The following is a 21,990-nucleotide window of genomic DNA, read 5'->3' as shown; positions in this document are numbered from 1 at the left end:
AAAGCTATTATCAGTGATCTTTAAATAAGACATGAAGGATAGGAGGAATTCCAGGATACTTGGAATGAGCAAATATTCCCGATTTCTAAAGAAAAAACAAAATATGCATGCCACCCTCCACAAACAGAATGGACAGCTTTATATTAATTCCTGAATTTCTAGCTTGATATTAATCCCTGGAAAAATTCTAAAAATGGCAACTGTACTTATGATTTGTAAACATTTAGAAAAGTAGTAATTGTCAGGAACTGGTATGGTTCTACTAGGACAAGGACATTTCCTTATTTTCCTTTTTCTTTTAAATAATTGAGCCTGGGGAACATAGTGGGACCCCATCTCTACAAAAAATAAAAAATAATTAGCCGGGTGTGGTGGTGAGTGCCTGTAGTCCCAGCTACTCAGGAGGCTGAGGCAGGAGGATTGCTTGACCCTGGGAGGTTGAGGCTGTAGCAAGCTGTGATTACACCACTGCACTCCAGCTTGGGTGAAAGGGTGAGACCCTGTTTCAAAAAGAAAAAAAAAGTTAAATAAATAAATAATCATAAGTCCTGTGGATCATGTTAAAACTATAAACACAGTGTATGTATTTTGATGCAGCAAACCATCTAGCAAAATTCTCATGATATTGTTGTTGATAAAATCCTTAGGAAAATATGGCCTGGATCGTTTACCTATCTTCTATTTTTGTCTTTGTTCTAAAAAGATTTTTGATGGCTTTAACAATACATAAAGTTTAATAAGATGAAGCAAAAGAGGGAGAAAATTAGGGTAAAGGAAAAACAACGTTAAAGGAAATAAGAGGAAACTGAGTGTGTTGTTGGTTCATTAAATGTATGCCATGACATTCTGTTATTCCACACTTTGTACACTTCCTAGAGGTAATTTGCAAATGTTGCTGTGGGCTTCCTAACAGTCAAAGCAAAGAGGAAACATCATAAATACAAGTGTCTATAAGAAAGAGAAACAGCACTGAGAGCAGAGAAGCTTCTGTTGGGTCCTTGTAAAGAGGACATATGTCATGTAGTAAACCATCTGCTCAATAAATCCTTACATGAAATGCAATGGTGAGTTTTAAGGGCCGCTTCTTATGAAGTACCTTTATGTAGGCCAAAGTATTTTATTATGTAAAAAAACTTCTATGGGCAATTGTGGTTTAGGGGTCTTGGGAATGTCATCAAGATATGTAACTCTCTGATAGTTGGGAAGTGTTTTTACCATTAGGCTCTAGTTCAGCAGCCAGCTTATAAAACTTCTCCAAAGATCATTCATTAAAGGGTTTATGTCTCTACTGCTTTGCTTTATCCTTGGGTAGTCAGAATTATCATCAAAGATGAAGTCTTTGAAAACACTCCTCACATTTTTGAATAATGAAAATTTGGAAGAGACAGTAAATAATGGTTAAGTGGTCTTGATATCTGCCATATTGGGGTAAAGCTTACAAGATAAAATTTAGTAGCTATAAATATATAAAATAGGAAATTTGAGTTAAAAAGTGAATCCTTGAGTGACAGAACCAGGGACACCCTGAAAGTAAGTCACACTATTTGAGAAGGACACCAGGAGGTTCCACACCTGCAAACTCAGATGAGACAATAGTGTGGCATGGCTTCTAAGAAAGCCAAAGTTGCATGTGTAGAAGCATTGTGCTCACAGAGGCTCTACAAACTCTGCCCAGGCCAGGTCACATCTGTTAGCCTTCTGTTAAAATTTCATGCCATTTTCCAAAAGAGCTATTCATTCAAAGGAGAGTGTCTGGGATGCTGAGGAGTCTAAAGGAAAATTTAGAGAAGCTATAGATTCTTATCCTAGAAATGAGAAGATAAAACAAACATAAAATCTGCCTTAGTTGAAGAGATATTATGTGATCAGGAAAATAATTTCCTCCCTTATATGGTTGGGTCTTTGTCTCTCTGACAAAATCTCATGTCAAACTTTAATCCCCAATGTTGGAGATGTGGTCTGGTGGACAGTGATTGGATCAAGGTGGCGAACTTCCCCTTTGGTGCTGTTCTCATGATAGTGAGTGAGTAATCACGAGATCTGGTTGTTTAAAAGTGTGCAGCACCTTCCCCCATCTCTCTTCCTCTTGCTCTGGCTGTGTAAGACATGTCTCCTTCCTCTTTGCCTTCTGCCATGATTGTAAGTTTTCTCAGGCCTCCCCAGCCATGCTTCCTTTATAGCCTGCAGAATTGTGAGCCAATTAAGCCTCTTTTATTTTTTTTTAAATCAATTACCCAGTCTCAGGTAGTTCTTTATAGCAATGCAAAAATGTACTAATACAGAAAATTGGTACTGGAAAGTGGGACATTGCTATAAAAATACTTAAAAATGTGGAAGTGACTTTGGAACTGAATAATGGACAGAGGTTGGAACAGTTTGGAGGACTCAAGAAGACAGGAAGATGAGGGAAAGTTTGAAACTTTCTAGAGACTTGTTGAATGGTTTTGACCAAAATGCTGATAGTGATATGGACAGAGATGGCCAGGCTGATGAGTTCTCAGATGGAGATGAGGAAATTACTGGGAATTAGAGCAAAGGTCATTTTTGTTATGCATTAGCAAAGAGGTTGGAGGCATTGTGCCCTGCCCTAGAGATCTGTGGAAGTTTGGACTTGAGAGAGATGATTTGGAGTATCTGGTGGAAGAAATTGCTAAGCAGCAAGGTGTTCAAGGTGTGACCTGGCTGCTTCTAACAGCGTATGCTCACTTGCATGAGCAAAGAGATTATCTGAAACTGGAACTTACATTTAAAAGGAAAGCAGAGTGTAAAAATTTGGAAAATTTGCAGTCTGGCCATGTGATAGAAAACAAAAACCCATTTTCTGTGGAAAAACTCAAGCCTGCTGCAGAAATTTGCATAAATAAAGAGAAGCCAAATATTAATAGCCAAGACAATGAGGAAAATGCCTCCAAGGCATTTCAAAGACATTCATGGCCTTTCCCATCATTGGCCTGGAGGCCTAGGTGGGAAGAATGGTTTTGTGAGCCAGGTCCCCAGGGCCCCAGTGCCCTACACAACCTTGGGACACTGCTCCCTGCATCCCAGCCACTCTAGCTCCAGCCATGGCTAAAAGGGCCCCAGATACATCTCAGGTCACTGCTCCAGAGTGAGCAAACTCTAAGCCTTGGTGGCTTCCATATTGTGTTAAGCCTGCAGGTGTGCAGAGTGCAAGAGTTGAGACTTGGGAGCCTCCACCTAGGTTTCAGAAGATGTATGGTAAAGCCTGGATGTCCAAGGAGAAGCCTGCTTTGAAATTGGGGCCCTCATTGAGAACCTCTGCTAGGGGAGTGCAGAGGGGAAATGTGGGGTTGAAGCCCCCAAACAGAGTCCCCACTGGGGCACTGCCCAGTGGAGCTGTGAGAAGAAAGCCACCATCATTCAGACCCAAAAATAGTAGATTCACTGACAGCTTGCACTATGCACCTGGAAAACCCACAGACACTCAGTGCCTGGCTTTGAGAGCAGCTGTGTGGGATGGGCCCTGCGGAGCCACAGTGGAGAAGCTGCTCAAGGCCTTGGGAGCCCACCCTTCGCATCAGTGCGGCCTGGATGTGAGACAAGGAGTCAAAGGAGATTATTTTAGAGCTTTAAGATTTAATGACTGCCCTGCTGGGTTTTGGATTTGCTTGGGGCCTGGAGTCCCTTTCTTTTGGTAGATTTTTCACTTTTGGAAAGGGATTGTTTACCTAATACCTGTAGCCTCATATTATCTTGGAAGTAACTAACTTGTTTTTTGTTTTACAGGCTTATAGGTGAAAGGGACTAGGCTTGTCTCAGATGAGACTTTGGACTTTAGACTTTTTAGTTAATGCTGGTGTGAGTTAAGACTTTGGTCTACTGTTGGAAAGACATGATTGTATTTGGAAATGTGAGAATGGCATGAGATTTGGGAGGGGTTGGGGTGGAATAATATGGTTTGTGTCTTTGTCCTTGCTCAAATCTCATGTCAAATTTTAATTCACACTGTTGGAGATGGGGTCTGGTTGGGGGTGATTGGATCAAGGGGGAAAATTTCCCCTTGGTGCTGTTCTCATGATAGTGAGTGAGTAATCATGAGATCTGGTTGTTTAAAAGTATGTAGTACCTTCTCCATCTCTCTCTTCCTCCTGCTCTGGCCATGTAAGCTCTGCCCCCTTCCTCTTTGCTTTCTGTCATGATTGTAAGTTTCCTGAGGCCTCCCCAGCCATGCTTCCTGCACAGCCTGTGGAACCGTGGGCCAAGTAAACCTCTTTTCATTATAAATTACCCAGTCCCAGGTTGTTCCTTATAGCAATGTGAGAACAGACTAATACACTCCTGGATAAAGCTAAAAGAAAAAATTTTAACAAACTACTGATTGATTACATAGGAGTATGTAAAAGAAAAACATGATAATAATTAGAGCTATCTGAAAAATCAAAATGGTCTTTCTTTTGAGTGGTGAACTTCTCATTGCTGGAAGAACTCAAAGACAGTCTGTATAGCTTCCAGCAATGTTGTAGAAGATAGTTTGATGAGGATGAGAGACTGTTCTAGGTGACCTCCAAGTTCCCTTCTCACTCAAAGATTTTATGCATCTTTACCTGAAATGGCAGAAATTTCAAGAGTTAAAAAATCCACAAGTTATTTAAAGAAAAAAAATCAATTTAGTCTCAGACTATTGTTAGTGTCTCAGAAGATCTGCCTCCAAGTGACTAAAGTAACATAAACAGAAGATGATGAATCATGCTGCTTTTCCTAATGGTCTCCAATATGCAAAGCCCAAGTTCACAGCTGCCACTCTGAGTGACTACATGGGGAGGGAGAAGTAAATTATGGTAGGTATAACACTGTAATGTTCCTAGTTGGTAGCTCGTGTGTATGTGATTACCTAGTATTCCTTACCAGCTGTTGATTTTTTTTTTTAACATTAGTCATACTGATTTAAAACAACCATCCTCTTCTCATTTATTTCAATAAGCACTGTTCTTTTTGGAAGAGTAAGACATTTTATTTAAAAGTGGAAGCTTTTCTTAGCTCTTGTATTAGTCCGTTCTCACACTGCTATGAAGAAATACCCGAGACTGGGTAATTTAAAAAGAAAGAGGTCTAATTAACTCACAGTTCTGCAAGGCTGGGGAGGCCTCAATAAACTTACAATTGTAGTGGCAGCAAGGAGAAGTGCTGAGCAAAAGGGAGAAAAGCCCCTTATAAAACCATCAGATCTCTTGAGAACTCACTCACTATCACAAGAACATCATGGAGGTAACCACCCCTATGATTCAATTACCTCCCTCTGGGTCTGTCCCATGACACGTGGGGATTATGGAAACTATAATTTAAGATGAGATTTGGGTGGGGACACGGCCAAACCATATCGGCTCTTAAGTGCATATGATGTGATTGTACATATATATGTACTTGACAGGGTGATTGTGAATCTCAGGTGAGGTAATTATTCAGGCACTATTCTCTCTTCTTATTCTTGACCCAGGTCACTGAGGTGGAAACAGGGTCATGGGAGTGGGGAAAATCAGTTGCTCACTTCTCTGTGACCAGAATAAAGGAAGTCTTTAGTGGTGGGTGGACAAGATTTTGGAAAGGGTCTCTGGAGGGTGAGCAACCAGGATAGATGGTCCCCAACTACATCTCCTCATTCCTAGTGCGAGGGCACTTAGTTGGCTGGGTTTTCTTTCTTGGTACTCTTGGGGCTTGAATGAGGGAAAATTCTGAGGTGTGCTGGATTGATAAAAGAAAGATGATTGGACCTAGTCTGGAATGGGGATTTGGGTCACCAAAGGAAAGGAAGTTCAGGGACTGGAAAGAACAGGAGGAGACTCAAGCTATTTAATCAGGGGTAGAGTTGGGGAGAAGACTCTGAAAGTTCAAGTCCAAGGTCTAAAGCCAGAGTAGGAACCAATGAAGTGTCTAGATATTAGAAGAAAGAAAAGAATCAGATGAAGGTTGCCCACGCAGATTCTGCTAAAAAGCCTGTGGTCTTCACAGGATAGCTTTTATTTTATCTCACTCAAGGGCAGCTCAGAGGCTTGTGACACTAGCTAAGGCCGGAGGTTCCCTAGAAGCTTGTCCTACCAATAAGCCTGCAATTCCTTGATAAATCACAGTCTACTGTTTCTCTCCAAGAAATCTCCAGGACAGATGGGCCAACTGATTAAAAGAATCTGGTTCCCTTAGGGCTAAGAAATTAATCTGGCAAATCATATTGCTAATCTCAGTGCAAATTCCTCATCTGAGAGACCTATGTAAACTTTGGTCAGTCATCTCTCTGCTCTCAATAAGTGAATTCCATTGCAAATGGCCATTGTAAGTTTGTCCCCTTCTCCTCCCTTCCTTGGCAGCTCTGTTTAGCATGCACCCAGATGGCTTCTGGGTAAGGCATGCAGAGGTAGCTAAAGATAGTTTATTGCCTCTGGTGTGTCCCTGCATGGTTTCTGCCCTCAGACATAAACTGAGCCCTTAGCATATCTTTTCTATATAGTAAAGTCTGTGTACCTTTATTATACCCTGTAAAAGTCTACATATCTTTCCTATACTTGAAAGCTATGCCATCAGCTTAATCATAATATAATTCTGATTGGATACTCTCTTAAATTATACTTATGCATTAATGCATTAATTTCTAACAATTTACAGTTGCATTTTACTATTTGTATTAGTCCAGTGAATGCTGTTCATCTTGTATACCATCATAAATGAACTGTTCGAATTCTTGAGGATTCCTTTAAAGGTGCCTTTATGTATGTGCACCTTTTTTAATAGACTGAGACTTCCTTGAGATTCTTTTTTGATTCCTTTGTCTATAAAGGGATAACACTCAAGACCTTAGGATGACCTCATATATACATATCTTATTTATTATATACACACATATGCATATATAAAATGAATAAATGTATTTTAAATAATATATATAAAATAATAAAAAAAATACAGTTGACCCTTGAGCAACAAGAGTTTTAGCTGCACTAATCCACTTCTATATGAATTTTTTTCAATAAGTGTATTGGAAATTTTTTTTGAGATTTGTGACAATTTGAAAAAAGTTACAAACAGCATAGCTTAGAAATATCAAAAAAGTTAAGAAAAATTAGGTATGGCATGATGCATAAAATATATGTAGCACTAGTTTATTTTATCATTTACTACCATAAAATACACACAAATCCATAATAAGAAGTTAAGATTTATCAAAACTTAGGCATACAGACTGTACATGTTACCATTCACAGTCCAGAGAAACGTAAACAAATGTGAGGATGCAGTGTAAAATCATAGCTGCATAAAATTCACTGTAGCACATACTGTACTACTGTAATAATTTTGTAGACGCCTCCTGTTACTACTGCAGTGAGCTCAGATGTTACGAATATCCACTTAAAGCACCTTGTGACAATAATCATCTCTGTGAGGGCAGATTCTCTCTTCAGTAAATTGTGAATTACACCAAAAAGTGATCTCTCAAGGTTCTCATGCATTTTTCACCATGTTTAGTGCAATACTGAGAACCTGAAATAACACTGTGGGACCCACACTAAGAGCCACTAGTGATGCTGGAAGTGCTTGCAGGAAGCAGAGAAAAGTCATGGATTATAACAAAAAGTGTAATAGTTTGTTATGTACTCTAGATTGAGGTCTGTAGCTGCAGTTGCTCACGATTTCAGACAGATGATTCATCTTATAAACAGATGACATAAACTTACAGTATGGATAAATACAGTACAGTATTGCAAATGTTTTTTCTCTTCCTTATGATTTTCCTAATTGCATTTTCTCTTTTCTAGGTTACTTTATTGTCAGAATACAGCATGTAATACATGTAACAAACAAAACATGATTTAATGAACTGCTTATGGTACTAGTAAGGCTTTGGCCAACAGAAATCTATTAGTAGTTAAGTTGTTGAGGAGTCAAAAGTTATATGGGATTTTAGACTGTACGAAGATCCTCTAACCCCTTTGTTGCTTAAGGGTCAACTGTATATAAATTAAATACATATATACTGTTGCTCTTCTGAGCCTATTTTTCCATTAGACTGAAGTTTTTCCTTCTGATAACTCTCTACATAGTAATACCCAATAATAAGTGTTATATTGCTTTGATTTAAAAGTGATATACTTAGGTATGAAATTATTCCAATTTTTTCTTCAACAAAACTTGAGCATCTATAGTACATGCTGTCTAGGTAATCTGGCATATTATTTCATTTAATCTGTAAAGCAACTTTGAAAGTAGGTATTATTACTCTAACTTAATGGATAATTAAACTTACACTGAGGCTTAGGGAAAGTTAGAACCTTGTATAAGTCCACCCGGTAAGCCAAAATTTGAACCCAGGTATTTTGATTTCAGACCTAATGCTGACTTTTTGTGGACATCACTGAGTTTATCAGTAAGGAATATATGTAAATTGCTATCTCAGATTGTTATTGTGTAGAAATTGTATCTCTTTTTCCCCTAATCTTATAAATTGTGTTAAAATACACATGACTTAAAATTACCATCTTAACTATATTAAGTCTTCCAAACCATGAATGAGATGTTTTTATTTATTTATGTCTTCTTAAATTTCTTTCACCAATGTTTTGTAGTTTTCACTGTACAAGTCTTTCCTTCCTTGCTTAAGTAATTTATAAGGATTTTATACATTTTGATGCTGTTGTAAATGGGGTTGTTTTTGTAATTTCCTTTTGAGATTGTTCATTGTTAGTATAAAAATGCAACTGATTTTTGTGTTTTCACTTTGTATCTTACCATGTTGCTGAATTTATTTACTAGTTGTAACAGATTTTTTTTTTTTTTTGGTGTAGTCTTTAGGGTTTTCTGTATATAAAATCATATCCTTCCATAAACAGATAATTTTACTTCTTTCTTTCCAATTTCTATGCCTTTCATTTCTTTTTCTTACCTAATTGCTTTGGCTAGAACTTCTAATACCATGTTGAATGGAAATGGTAAAAGTGGGCATCTTTGTCTTAGTCCTGATCTTAAAGGAAAAGCTTTCAACCCTTCACCAGTGAGTATGATCTTAGTTATGGGCTTTTCATACATGGCCTTTATTATGTTAAGGTAATTTCTTTCTATCTTTATTTTGTCAAGTGTTTTTATCATGAAAGGGTGTTAAATTTTGTGAGATCATTTTTTTCTGCATCAGTTGAGATGATCACGTTTTCCCCCCTTCATTCTGTTATTGTAATATATTACATTGATTGGTTTTCATATGTTGAAACTTTCATGCACGTCTGTGTGAAGAGACCACCAAACAGGCTTTGTGTGAGCAACATGGCTGTTTATTTCACCTGGGTGCAGGCGGGCTGAGTCCGAAAAGAGAGTTGGCAAAGGGAGATAAGGGTGGGGCCATTTTATAGGATTTGGGTAGGTAAAGGAAAATTACAGTCACAGGGGGTTTGTTCTCTGGCGGGCAGGAGTGGGGGTCGCAAGGTGCTCAGCGGGGGTGCTTTTTGAGCCAGGATGAGCCAGGAAAAGGACTTTCACAAGGTAATGTCATCACTTAAGGCAAGGACCAGCCATTTACACTTCTTTTGTGGTGGAATGTCATCAGTTAAGGTGGGGCAGGGCATATTCACTTCTTTTGTGATTCTTCAGTTACTTCAGGCCATCTGGGCATATACGTGCAAGTCACAGGGGATGCGATGGCTTGGCTTGAGCTCAGAGGCCTGACATTCCTGCCTTCTTATATTAATAAGAAAAATAAAACAAAATAGTGTTGAATTGTTGGGGTGGCAAAAATTTTTGGGGGGTGATATGGAGAGAGAATGGGCGACGTTTCTCAGGGCTGCTTCAAGCGGGATTAGGGGTGGTGTGGGAACCTAGAGTGGGAGAGATTAAGCTGAAGAAAGATCTTGTGGTAAGGGGTGATATTGTGGGGTTGTTAGAAGAAACATTTGTCGTATAGAATGATTGGTGATGGCCTGGATATGGTTTTGTATGAATTGAAAAACTAAATGGAATAAGAGAAGGAGAAAAACAGGTATAAAACGTCTAAGAGTTGGGAGGACCTAGGACATCTGATTAGAGAGTGCCTAAGGAGATTCAGCATAGTCCTGCCAGCAAAGATTATTTATTTACTTCAAGAGTTTAGAGTGGCAGTTTGGGGATAGCACCAGGAGATATCAGCTGTGATGGCTTGGAGAAACAGTGTAAACCGGCAGTGTAAACAAGAGCAGGGCATGTATGAGTAGTTGAGAATGGTGAATAGGAGTATGACTAGACAAAAGATAGTAGGGATGACAAGTTTTTTTGGGGCACAGTCTAAGTTGGTCTGGTGTCAAATAAGACTGGGGCCTAATAAAAAGGAGCGTCTATACAGGAGCTCAAATGGGCTGTACCTTGTAGCATTCTGAGGACAGGCCTGAATTCTGAGAAGCGAAAGTGGTAAAAGTATTGTCCAGTCCTTTTTAAGTTGGTGGCTGAGCTTGGTGAGGTGTGTTTTTAAAAGACCTTTAGTCCATTCTACTTTTCTTGAAGACGGAGGACCGTAAGGGATATAAAGGTTTCACTGAATACTAAGAGCCTGAAAAACTGCTTGGCTGATTTGACTAATAAAGGCTGGTCTGTTATCAGACTGTATAGAGGTGGGAAGGCTAAACTGAGGAATTATGTCTGACAGAAGGGAAGAAATGACTGTGGTGGCCTTCTCAGACCCTGTAGGAAAGGCCTTTACTTATTCAGTGAAAGTGTCTATTTAGACTAAGAGGTATTTTAGTTTCCTGACTCGGGACATGTTGAGTAAATTTAATTTGCCAGTCCTGGGTGGGGGCAAATCCGAGCTTGATGTGTAGGGAAGGGAGGGGGCCTGAATAATCCCTGAGGAGTAGTAGAATAGCGGATGGAACATTGAGAAGTTATTTCCTTGAGGATAGATTTCCACGATGGAAAGGAAATGAGAGGTTCTGAGAGGCGGGCTAGTGGCTTGTACTATCGCTTAGCCTGCCTTTGCTGGTGTGTGGCGATTAGGCCTGGTGGAACTGCCATCAATAAACCAAGCATGATCAGGGTGAGGAACAGGAAAGAAGGAAATATGGGGAAATGGGGTGAATATCAGGTGGATCAGAGAGATACAGTCATGGGGGTCAGGTGTGGTATCAGGAATAATGTGGGAGGCCAGATTGAAGTCTGGGCCAGGAATGATGGTAATTGTGGGACTTAAAGAGTGAGTACAGCTGAAGGAGCCGGGGAGCAGAAAGTATATGCGTCAGGTATGAGGAAGAAAATAGATTTTGGAAGTTATGAGAAATGTAGAGAGTGAGTTGAGCATAGTTTGTGATTTTTAGGGCCTCTAACAGTATTAAAGCAGCGGCAGCTGCTGCACACAGACATAAGGGCTAGACTAAAACAGTAAGGTCAAGTTGTTTGGACAGAAAGGCTACACGGTGTGGTCCTGGCTCTTGTGTAAGAATTCTGACTGCACTAACCATGCCTAGGAAGGAAAGGAGTTGTTCTTTTGTGAGGGATTGAGGTTTGGGAGATTAATCGGACACGATCAGCAGGGAGGGCACATGTGTTTTTATGAGAATTATTCCGAGATAGGTAACAGATGAGGATGAAATTTGGGCTTGACTGAAGTAATGGGGGCTATCTGTGAAGCCTTGCGGCAGTACAGCCCAGGTAATTTGCTGAGCCTAATGGGTGTCAGGGTCAGTCTAAGTGAAGGCAAATAGAGGCTGGGATGAAGGGTGCAAAGGAATAGTAAAGAAAGCATGTTTGAGATCCAGAACAGAATAATGGTTAGTAGAGGGAGGTATTGAGGATAGGAGAGTATATGGGTTTGGCACCACGGGGTGGATAGGCAAAACAATTTGGTTGATAAGGCGCAGATTCTGAACTAACTTGTAAGCCTTGTCTGGTTTTAGGACAGGTAAAATAGGGGAATGGTAAGGAGAGTTATAGGTTTTAGAAGCCTATGCTGTAGCAGGCAAGTGATAACAGGCTTTAATCTTTTTAAAGAGTGCTGCACGATGGGATATTGGTGTTGAGTGGGGTAAGGGTGATTAGGTTTGAATGGGATGGTAATGGGCATATGATCGGTTGCCAGGGAAGGAATAGAGATGTCCCATACTTGTGGGTTAAGGTGGGGGGATATGAGAGGAAGATGTGAAGGACGCTTTGGGTTGGGGAGAAGGGCGGCAATGAGATGTGGCTGTAGTCGAGGAATAGTCAGGGAAGCAGATAATTTAGTTAAAGTGTCTCGGCCTAATAAGGGAACTGGGCAGGTGGGGATAACTAAAAAGGAGTGCTTAAAGGAGTATTGTCTAAGTTGGCACTAGAGTTGGGGAGTTTTAAGAGGTTTAGAAGCCTGGCCGTCAATACCCACAACAGTTATGGAGGCAAGGGAAACAGGCCCTTGAAAAGAAGTTAATGTGGAGTGGGTAGCCTCTGTATTGATTAAGAAGGGGACGGGCTTACCTTCCACTGTGAGAGTTACCCAAAGCTCGGCATCCGTGATGGTTTAGGGGGCTTCCGAGGCGATCGGGCAGTGTCAGTCTTCAGCCGCTAAGCCGAGAAGATCTGGGAAGGAGTCAGTCAGAGAGCCTTGGGCCAGAGTTCCAGGGGCTCTGGGAGTGGCTGCCAGGTGAGTTGAACAGCCGATTTTCAGTGGGGTCCCACATAGATGGGACATGGCTTAGGAGGAATCCTGGGCTGCGGGCATTCCTTGGCCCAGTGGCCAGATTTCCAGCACGTGTAGCAAGCTCCTGTGGGAGGAGGTTCTGGAGGAACTCCTGGCTGCTGCGGTTCAGGCGTTTGGAAGTTCTTGTGTGCTGGAGATGTGGCTGGGGTTTGTCTCACAGTGGAGGCAAGGAATTGCAACTTTTTTCTGTTATTGTACACCTTGAAGGTGAGGTTAATTAAGTCCTGTTGTGGGGTTTGAGGGCCAGATTCCAATTTTTGGAGTTTAATGTCGGAAGCAGATTGGGTAATAAAATGTATTTTGAGAATAAGATGGCCTTTTGACCTTTTAGGGTCTAGGGTTGTAAATTGTCTCAGGGTTGCTGCCAAATGAGCCATGAACTGGGCTGGGTTTTTATATTTGATGAAAAAGAGCCTAAACGCTTCTGATTTGGGATAAAGAAAAAGGAGCATTAACCTTGAGTATGCCTTTGGCTCCAGCCACCTTTTTAAGAGTAAATTGCTGGGCAGGTGGGGGAGGTCTAGTCACCGAACGAAACTGTAAGCCGGACCAGGTGTGAGGAGGGGAGGTGATAAAAAGATTATAGGGTGGAGGAGCAGAGGCTGAGGAAGAATTGGGACCTAGCTCGGCCTGGCGAGGAGCAGCCTGGGGAGGAAGGGAGAGGTCAGATGGGTCTGTAGGAAAGGAAGATTAGAAAGACTCAGTGACGCTTGGGGTTGGTACTGAGGGGACAGGTGGGAGGGAAAGAAGGAAGATTTGGGATGAGTTGCACTGGGCACAGAGACTAGGAAGGGACTGATGTGTAAAAGAATGCCTGGATGTCAGGCACCTCAGACCATTTGCCTATTTTACGACAAGATTATTTAGATTTTGCAGGATGGAAAAATTCAAAGTGCCATTTTCTGGCTATTTGGAACTACTGTCGAGTTTGTATTGGGGTCAAGCGGCATTGCAGAAGAAAATAAGGCATTTAGGTTTTAGGTCAGGTGTGAGTTGAAGAGGTTTTAAGTTTTTGAGAACACAGGCCAAGGGAGTAGATGGAGGAATGGAGGGTGGAAGGTTGCCCACAGTGAAGGAAGCAATCCTAGAGAAAAGAGAGAGTAGAGAAACAAAGGGAAGGAGTTCGGGGGTTCTTACCTTCCAGAAAAGTGGGAAGAGGGGTTGGGTCACAGAGATAAGAGGTCGGGGTGCGGAAATAAGGGATTGGGGTGCAGATATATAAGAGGTTGGGGCGCGGAAATAAGGGATTGGGGCGCAGAGATATGAGGTCGGGGCATGGAAATAAGGGATTGGGACACAGAGATAAGAGGTCGGGGTGTGGAAATAAGGGATTGGGGCACAGAGATAAGAGGTCAGGGTGCGGAAATAAGGGATTGGGGTGCAGAGATAAGAGGTTGGAGTGCAGAAATAAGGGATTGGGGCACAGAGATAAGAGGTCAGGGTGCGGAAATAAGGGATTGGGGTGCAGAGATAAGAGGTTGGAGTGCAGAAATAAGGGATTGGGGCACAGAGATAAGAGGTTGGGGCATGGAAATAAGGGATTGGGGCACAGAGATAAGAAGTTGGGACATGGAAATAAGGGATTGGGGGTTCTTGCCCCGTAGAAAAGCGGGACTTGCCACTAAGGGTGAAGGAGAAGGGGTTGGGGGTACTTGCCCCTCTCCCAGAAAAGCGGGACTTGCCGCTAAGGGTGAAGGAGAAGGGGTTGAGGGGTACTTGCCCCTGCCCCAGAAAAGCGGGACTTGCCACTAAGCTTGAAGGAGAAGGGGTTGAGGGGTACTTGCCCCTTCCCCAGAAAAGCGGGACTTGCTGCTAAGGGTGAAGGACCAAGGCAGGCGTCCCTGCGTGGTCTGACACCCTTGAAACGTGGGTGTATAATCAGAGAGGCATCCCTGCAATGATTAAACACCAAGGGAAGGCTGCCTTCCCAGTCCATGACCAGCGCCGGAGTTTTGGGTCCATGGATAAAACGTGTCTCCTTTGCCTCTACCAGAAAATGAAAGGAATTGAAATTAAGAGAAGGGAGAGATTGAAGAGTGGAAAGGAGAAAGTGGTTGAGGGACAGTGAGAGAGGTTGGAGAAGAGAGTAAGAAGAGGCCGCTTACCTGATTTAAAATTGGTGAGATGTTCCTTGGGCTGGTCGGTCTGAGGACCTGAGGTCATAGGTGGATCTTTCTCACGGAGCAAAGAACAGGAGTACAGGGGATTGATCTCCCAAGGGAGGTCCCCCGATCCAAGTCACGGCACCAAATTTCATGTGCATCCGTGTGAAGAGACCACCAAACAGGCTTTGTGTGAGCAACATGGCTGTTTATTTCACCTGGGTGCAGGCGGGCTGAGTCTGAAAAGAGAGTCAGCGAGGGGAGATAAGGGTGGGGCCGTTTTATAGGATTTGGGTAGGTAAAGGAAAATTACAGTCACAGGGGGTTTGTTCTCTGGCGGGCAGGAGTGGGGGTCGCAAGGTGCTCAGCGGGGGTGCTTTTTGAGCCAGGATGAGCCAGGAAAAGGACTTTCACGAGGTAATGTCATCGCTTAAGGCAAGGACCGGCCATTTACACTTCTTTTGTGGTGGAATGTCATCAGTTAAGGTGGGGCAGGGCATATTCACTTCTTTTGTGATTCTTCAGTTACTTCAGGCCATCTGGGCATATACGTGCAAGTCACAGGGGATGCGATGGCTTGGCTTGGGCTCAGAGGCCTGACAGAAACAACTTTACATTCCAGGAATAAATCCCAACTTGTCATGGTGTGTAATCTTTTTAACTGCTGCATTCAGCTTGCTATATTTCATTGAAGATTTTTTGATCAGTGTTCATGGAATTGTCTCTTACTTGATTTTTTCTGCTTAATTATATCTCTTACTTAATTTTTTCTGCTAAATTGTATAACTCAGATTTTTATGTAGTAAGTGCTAAGTAAGTTTGTGTTGAGTCTGTGGTGTCAATAGCATTGACAGCCTTGAGCTTATAGGAATCAGAAAGGTACTGTGGTGGTGAAAGAGACCAAATTGTCTATTGACAAGACCATCTTCCACCAGATGCATATAATATCTGCACCAGAAGGAAGGGGAACCAAATTTTATGTTTAACACTGACAGCAGTGTAGTATCCAAGATGCCAAATTGGGTAAAAGGCAGAACCAAACAATCAGAATTTAGATATAAATATTCCCCATCCAGAGAGCAAGTCATTCATCCTTCTTATTGGGAGTGGAATGCCCTGAGTATATTAATAAATTGTGGCTATTTTCTGGTTCTTGCATCAATCTGTAAACCAAAAGTAAAGTTCTAGGCACCCCAATCAATTGAATAGATCCACCTCTTGGCCAAGGGGACCCCAAAGAAACCTGAAAAGCTAGTTCAGGCCATGACAGGAAGTAAGGGTCAGACATGCCTCATTATACTTTCCATCCTTTGGAGTTTAGACATAACTAGACAGTGTTAACATTAAAGCAGAGATGTTAAGACTGACAAAACAGACTCTTAGTTGCAATAAGATACCAAATTCCAACCTTACTCTGGTATAGCATCATATGAAAGATAACAGGCCCTGAAGGAAATCAAAGTATTTTACCCTTAAATATGTTTATTTGACATATTCTGAAACGGCCCTGTAAAGCTGTCTCCTGTGGGAGAAATTTGCATTCTGTAGAAAATCTCCTTTCCTTACTAAGTATTTTTTCTGGAGAGTCTGACACCTTTTAAGTTCTGATAAGAGACATTCACCATTTATACTCTCTGAAGCCTGCTACCTGGAGTCTTCGTCTATATAACAAGCGCCTGGGCTTCCACAACCCTCTTATCTAAACTCATGTCTTTATGCTGAATTCAACTCTTCAGGCAGGGCTTAACTCTTTCAATGAATTGCCAATCAGGAAATCTCTGAATTCACCTATGAGCTGGAACCCCTGCACCACCCCCTCCAGTTCCCCTCCCCCACTTTGAGATGTCCTGCCTTTCTGAGCCAAACCCATGTATACCTTACATATATTGATTTATGTCTTTGCCTGTAACTTCTGTCTTGCTAAAATGTATAAAACCAAACTATAACTCAAGCAACTTGGCCACATGTTCTCAAGACCTCCTGAAGCTTTGTAACAGGCCATGGCCCTTAACCTTGGCAAAATAAACCTTTAAATTGATTGAGACATGTTTCAGATACTTTTACAAGTCTAATGAACTTCTACCCCACCTAAAATAAATTTCTGGCTGTGCACGGTGGCTTAAGCCTGTAATCCCAGCACTTTGGGAGGCCGAGGTGGGCGGATCATGAGGTCAGGAGATCGATACTTTTACAAGTCTAATGAACTTCTACCCCACCTAAAATAAATTTCTGGTTGGGCGTGGTGGCTCAAGCCTGTAATCCCAGCACTTTGGGAGGCCGAGGTGGGCGGATCACGAGGTCAGGAGATCGAGACCATCCTGGCTAACCCGGTGAAATCCCGTCTCTACTAAAAAAAAATACAAAAAATTAGCCGGGTGTGGTTGTGGGCACCTGTAGTCCCAGCTACTCAGAAGGCTGAGGCAAGAGAATGGCAGGAACCCGGGAGGCGGAGCTTGCAGTGAGCCGAGATTGCGCCACTGCACTCCAGCCTGGGCAACAGAGTGAGACTCCGTCTCAAAAAAAAAAAATAAAATAAATAAATTTCTGAGAGGTAATGATTAAAATGAAAAACAGTGCCATCATAATGGTATGGCAGAAAATTTGGGTGAATATTTATACAATGCTGGATGTGAGAAAGCCTTCCTAACCATGATGCCAAAAATAAAAATAGAAATCATAAAGGAAAAATTGGCTACGCTCAACCAAATAAAAATTAGCAATCTCTATCCTACCCAAAGTGATGTTAACAAAATAAAAAGGCAAAAGGTAAAATGGGAAAAAAATATTTGCAACATATATGATAGTCAAAATGATAAAATCATTAATTTATAAAAAAATTCATAAATCAAAATGGGCAAGTTATAAAAGAAGAAATATAAAGACCAATAATCGTATGAAAAATAAAATCTAATTCTATAATTAAGAGATTCAAAGAGAAAGAAAGAGATGTGATTTTCTAACAATTACAAATGAAGAAAATAATCTAGCATTGGAGAGTGTTTGGAAAGACACTTATACCCCATTAGTAGGAATGTAAATTGGTACTAGCTTATGAAGGCCAATCCAGAAATACATATTAGAAGTCTTTTTAAAAAGTGTACCACCTTTAATCTAGTAATTATACTTAAGAAAATATATTTCAAAGAAATAATAATAATATCTGCAAAGAAGTGGTTGGAAGAATGTTCATTAAAAATATTTAAAATAGCCAAGAGATTTAGAAACGTAAATGTCTAGAAATAGGAAGTTATTTAAATAAATTATTTAATACTCATATAATGGGATATAATGTGATTATTAAATCTAAATTATAGTTGAATATTGTTGGAAGTGGCTTTTGCTGGAATTAATGGTGGTGTTCTGAAGTCACCATTACATGGCAAGGATAAAATCTGCTCTGGTTAATATTTCTTACCTTTCATTCTCCAGAATCAGACACTGCTATGGTCTTGTATCATCTTGCACATCTCAAGATCACCAAAATGCTGATGTTTACTTTCCTTTTTCTTAGAACTTTTGACTTCCACCTTTCCTGAAGTTTGCATAAAGATTTTATGCCTGTTAGTATCTGTTTGATGTTTTTTCATGCTTTCTGTTTTTACCACATGGGCTCTGACCTCTAAATATTGGCAGGCTTCCAAGTTCAGTTCTTGGACCTGTTTGTTTTTTTTTAATCTGCACTTACTATCTGAGTTATCTCTTCTAGTCTACAGCTGTCAATACCACCTATATCAAGCTTGTCCAACCCATAGCCCATGGGCTGCATGTGGCCCAGGACATCTTTGAATGTGGCCCAACACAAATTCACAGACTTTCTTAAAACATTATGAGATTTTTGGCCGGGCACAGGGGCTCATGCCTGTAATCTCAGCACTTTTGGAGGCTGAGGCAGGTGGATCACGAGGTCAAGAGATCAAGACCATCCTAGGCAACATGGCGAAACCCCGTCTCCATTAAAAATACAAAAGTTAGCTGGGTGTGGTGGCATGCGCCTGTAGTCCCAGCTACTAAGGAGGCTGAGGCAGGAGAATTGCTTGAACCTGGGAGGCGGAGGTTGTGGTGAGCCAAGATGACAAACTCCAGCCTGGGCGACAGAGCGAGACTCCGTCTAAAATAAAATAAAATAAAAAACCTAAACATTATGGATTTTTTTTGGTGATTTTTTTGCGAGCTCAATTAGCTAACATTAGTGTTAGTGTATTTTATATGTGGCCCAAGACAATTTTTCTTCTTCTAATGTGGCCCAGGGAAGCTAAAAGATTGGACTCCCCTGATCTATATGCTGATAGCTCTCAACTTTCTAACCTAAACTCCCCAAGGTGCAGACTAAACAGATCCATCTATTTATTCAACAGCTCCTCTTTGATGGCTAATCAACTCTAACGTCCAAAGCTGAATTCCTAATTTCCTCCACTACAAACCTACTCTTTTTACAGTGCTCCCCTTTCAGCACATGATAACTCTGTTCTTTCAGTTTCCAGGGCCAAAAATTTTGGTGACATCCTTAACTCTTCTCTTTCTTACAACACGTATCAAAACTCTCACCATATCCTGAGGCTGCTTTTTCAAAATCTATATAGGATCTGGCTGCCTCTTACCCCCTACATGGCTCCAAGCCATCATTTCCTGGATTTTTCCAGCCTCCTAGTTGGTCTTCATGCTTCTACTTTTGCCCTCTGTAATCTACTCTCAACAAAGGGGTCCTTCAAAAACCCAAGTCATATGATGTCACTCTCATGCTCAGTACTCACCAATAGTTTCCACCTCCCTCAGATAAAAATTTAAGACATTCAATGATATGCAAGGTCCTATGTGATCTTGCTTCCAGCTACCTTTATGACCTCATCTTCTATTACTTTTTTCTTCACTCTGTTCCACCCACATTGGCCTCCATACTGGATCAGCATGTCACTCCATACTGTGTCCGGAACATGCCCAAGTACTTTCCTGCCTCGGGGCTACTGCCTGGAATGCTCTTCCCTTAATACACGTGAGACTCCCTCCTTCCCTACTTCAGGTCTTTGCTCTAAAGCCATCCTTTTTATTTAGGACTTTCCTGACCATGCTATTTAAAATTACAATCCCCTTTCCTCCTTCATGTCTTCACTTATCCTCCTTTATTACTTTCATTCCTGCCACAGCATCTATCACCATACAACCAACTTAGTTTTTATTGTCTGTTTCCTACAACAAGAATTAAAGCTTCATGAAGACAGATATTTTTCATCTTTTGCTTACTGCTTTATCCCAGTTGTTGAGTACGGTGCCTGGCACATGGTAGATACTCAATAAATATTTGTTTTTAAATGAATCTACAGATATTACATCTAAGGAACTACTGAGATGTTCCCCTTGGTGCTAAGATGATGAATAAACCTGAGACACTTGGAAACTTCTAAGCTCTTATGGAATGAATGATGGTTATAATATCATTAGATGCCCAGACATTACAAGGGAAGGGTAAGATGAGACCTCTGAGGCTCAGTTAGGATAACAGATGTTTCTTCACTCTCTTTTGATTATGTTCCTGTCACTTGACATGGGATATAGCTTGTTATGATGATGGAGGGAAGAGTGCTGAAACTGGGAGAGGACTGTGAAATATTATAATGGGAGACAGTTCAAATATCCCACTTAGAATTAGTGGGAGGCATTCATGGAGTAATGATATTATCTCATTATCTAAATCTCCTAAGACTGTAAGTATCCTGCCAGTTTCTATTTTATTTACATAACTCAATACTTCAGGCTGTTATAGGAAGTTTCTGACTCTAGCAAGAAATATAAATTGACAGGGGAATATATTCATTATATATTGAATTTTAAAAGAAGATTATAAAATACCGTAAAGATGGAGATTTTGTTTAGTTAGGAAAAGACCCATGCTTTCTATCATGTGTCTAATGATACATCTGACAAGTTAATGTAATAGAAGGGGACACACACACACACACACACACACACATGTACACACATGCTTAGGTCCTAATCATGACTATATCTGGCTGTTGGGACTGTATTTTTATTTCTTTTCTTTTTGCTTATCTAATATCTCTACCTTCTGATTTTCTATGGTGATTATACTGTGCTTGTATAATCAAAATAAAGAGTGAATATGTTTGTGGGGTTATTAGGCTGTTGAGGGCATGAGATACTCTAGGCAACGATCATGGAGTCTCAGTGTTGGAAGTGACTTTTAGGTTATAAGGCCAACCTTGTCCATGTCCTTGCCAAGTGGTTCTCTATTTGTGCACCTCTAGTGGCAGAAAGCTCACTGCCTCCTGAGGCAGCCCACTCCATATGTCTGCATATGACTTCTACACATGAAGTTCTGCTCTTGGAAGTAATAGATTCTGGATTTTTGCAATAGCCTCCTAATTGGTCTTCCTGTTTCCATTCTTGCCCCTCTGTAATCTCTCTTCAACAAAGTTGTCTTCCAAAAAAAGATCATGAAGGTTGTAGTTTCTGATTTATATGTATGTATATACAGTTTCAGTCTACTGTAAAGGGAAGAGAAAGAAAGAAAACAGAGGATATGAATCTAGGGACTATGCTTAAGGAAAACATATAAAGGCTTTATTGGTGCTAGAAGCATCACCAGTATAAATAAAACATATGCTGCTTCTTTGAATTTTTATAGATGTAACTTTAATGTAATGAGATTAAATTATCTTCTGTGGAAGGGACATTATGGTAGGCACTGTTGGTGAAGATAGAAAGCAAAAGATAGAAGAGGAATTCAAGGTATGAATTTCTTTCTCTCATGACACACACTGTCCAGTTAGGGAGAGCCTGAAACAGATTATATAAAACATCCTGAGAGCCGACACAATGTACCATAAAATGAACCATAGACAAGGGGCATCAGATGACTGGTAAATTAAGGGAAGATGAGAGTGCACTGGTGCTGCAATTCCATTCAATAATTTTTTTTGAATATCTCTGTTCTGAAAATGACTGTGCTGATTTCTGTGGAAATATACAAAAAGAATAAAGCATTGAGCTTACCCTCAATGTCTGTGGTTCAGTGGCATTCAAGATTAGTGATAGGAGTTTTTAAAGACTTGGGCAAATGTTCTAGACAGTGTTAAACTAAAAAATAGCATACAAAATTACACGGTCAGTATGATTTTAACTGTGTAAAAAGTACCCAGAAGAACATTAGGAGAAAATATGCTGAAATGTTAACAATTTTTAAAAAAGTCAATCATGTCAGGGTGGAATTATGGTGATTTTACCTCCCCCCACCTTTAAACAGTTAAC

The 21,990-nt window shown here is 40.8% G+C and overlaps 2 long non-coding RNA genes across 3 annotated transcripts in view, besides 2 other annotated features; one reads left to right on the top strand and one right to left on the bottom strand.

Annotated features, from left to right (window-relative positions):
- The window catches only part of LOC124902234 (uncharacterized), an 85,285-nt gene extending 65,771 nt beyond the window's left edge, over positions 1 to 19,514 (bottom strand). Inside the window, exons 1-3 of one of the 2 annotated variants that reach the window (XR_007061698.1) lie at positions 19,479 to 19,514; positions 18,143 to 18,259; positions 14,937 to 14,966 (exon numbers count right to left, since the gene is read on the bottom strand). This is a non-coding gene — a long non-coding RNA (uncharacterized LOC124902234). Of the gene's footprint in view, positions 1 to 14,936; positions 14,967 to 18,142; positions 18,260 to 19,478 lie in introns of those variants that run through there. The other variant, XR_007061699.1, reaches the window with a different exon arrangement.
- LOC101928438 (uncharacterized) overlaps positions 1 to 21,990 on the top strand; it is a 234,104-nt gene that overhangs the window by 134,780 nt on the left and 77,334 nt on the right. The window lies entirely within an intron of this gene.
- Positions 9,382 to 9,882: an enhancer, noted in NCBI's record as "OCT4-NANOG-H3K27ac hESC enhancer chr9:102437510-102438010 (GRCh37/hg19 assembly coordinates)". NCBI's record gives its function as "activates a minimal SCP1, AML or CMV promoter by ChIP-STARR-seq in naive and primed H9 embryonic stem cells {active_cell/tissue: H9 hESC(naive and primed)}" and the evidence as "EXISTENCE:reporter gene assay evidence [ECO:0000049][PMID:30033119]".
- Positions 15,020 to 15,599: an enhancer, noted in NCBI's record as "OCT4-NANOG-H3K27ac hESC enhancer chr9:102431793-102432372 (GRCh37/hg19 assembly coordinates)". NCBI's record gives its function as "activates a minimal SCP1, AML or CMV promoter by ChIP-STARR-seq in naive and primed H9 embryonic stem cells {active_cell/tissue: H9 hESC(naive and primed)}" and the evidence as "EXISTENCE:reporter gene assay evidence [ECO:0000049][PMID:30033119]".

The sequence above is a fragment of the Homo sapiens genome, chromosome 9, assembly GCF_000001405.40.
Source record: "Homo sapiens chromosome 9, GRCh38.p14 Primary Assembly".
In the NCBI taxonomy this organism is placed as follows: Eukaryota; Metazoa; Chordata; class Mammalia; order Primates; family Hominidae; genus Homo; species Homo sapiens.
This window is presented reverse-complemented; position numbering and strand designations above follow the sequence as displayed.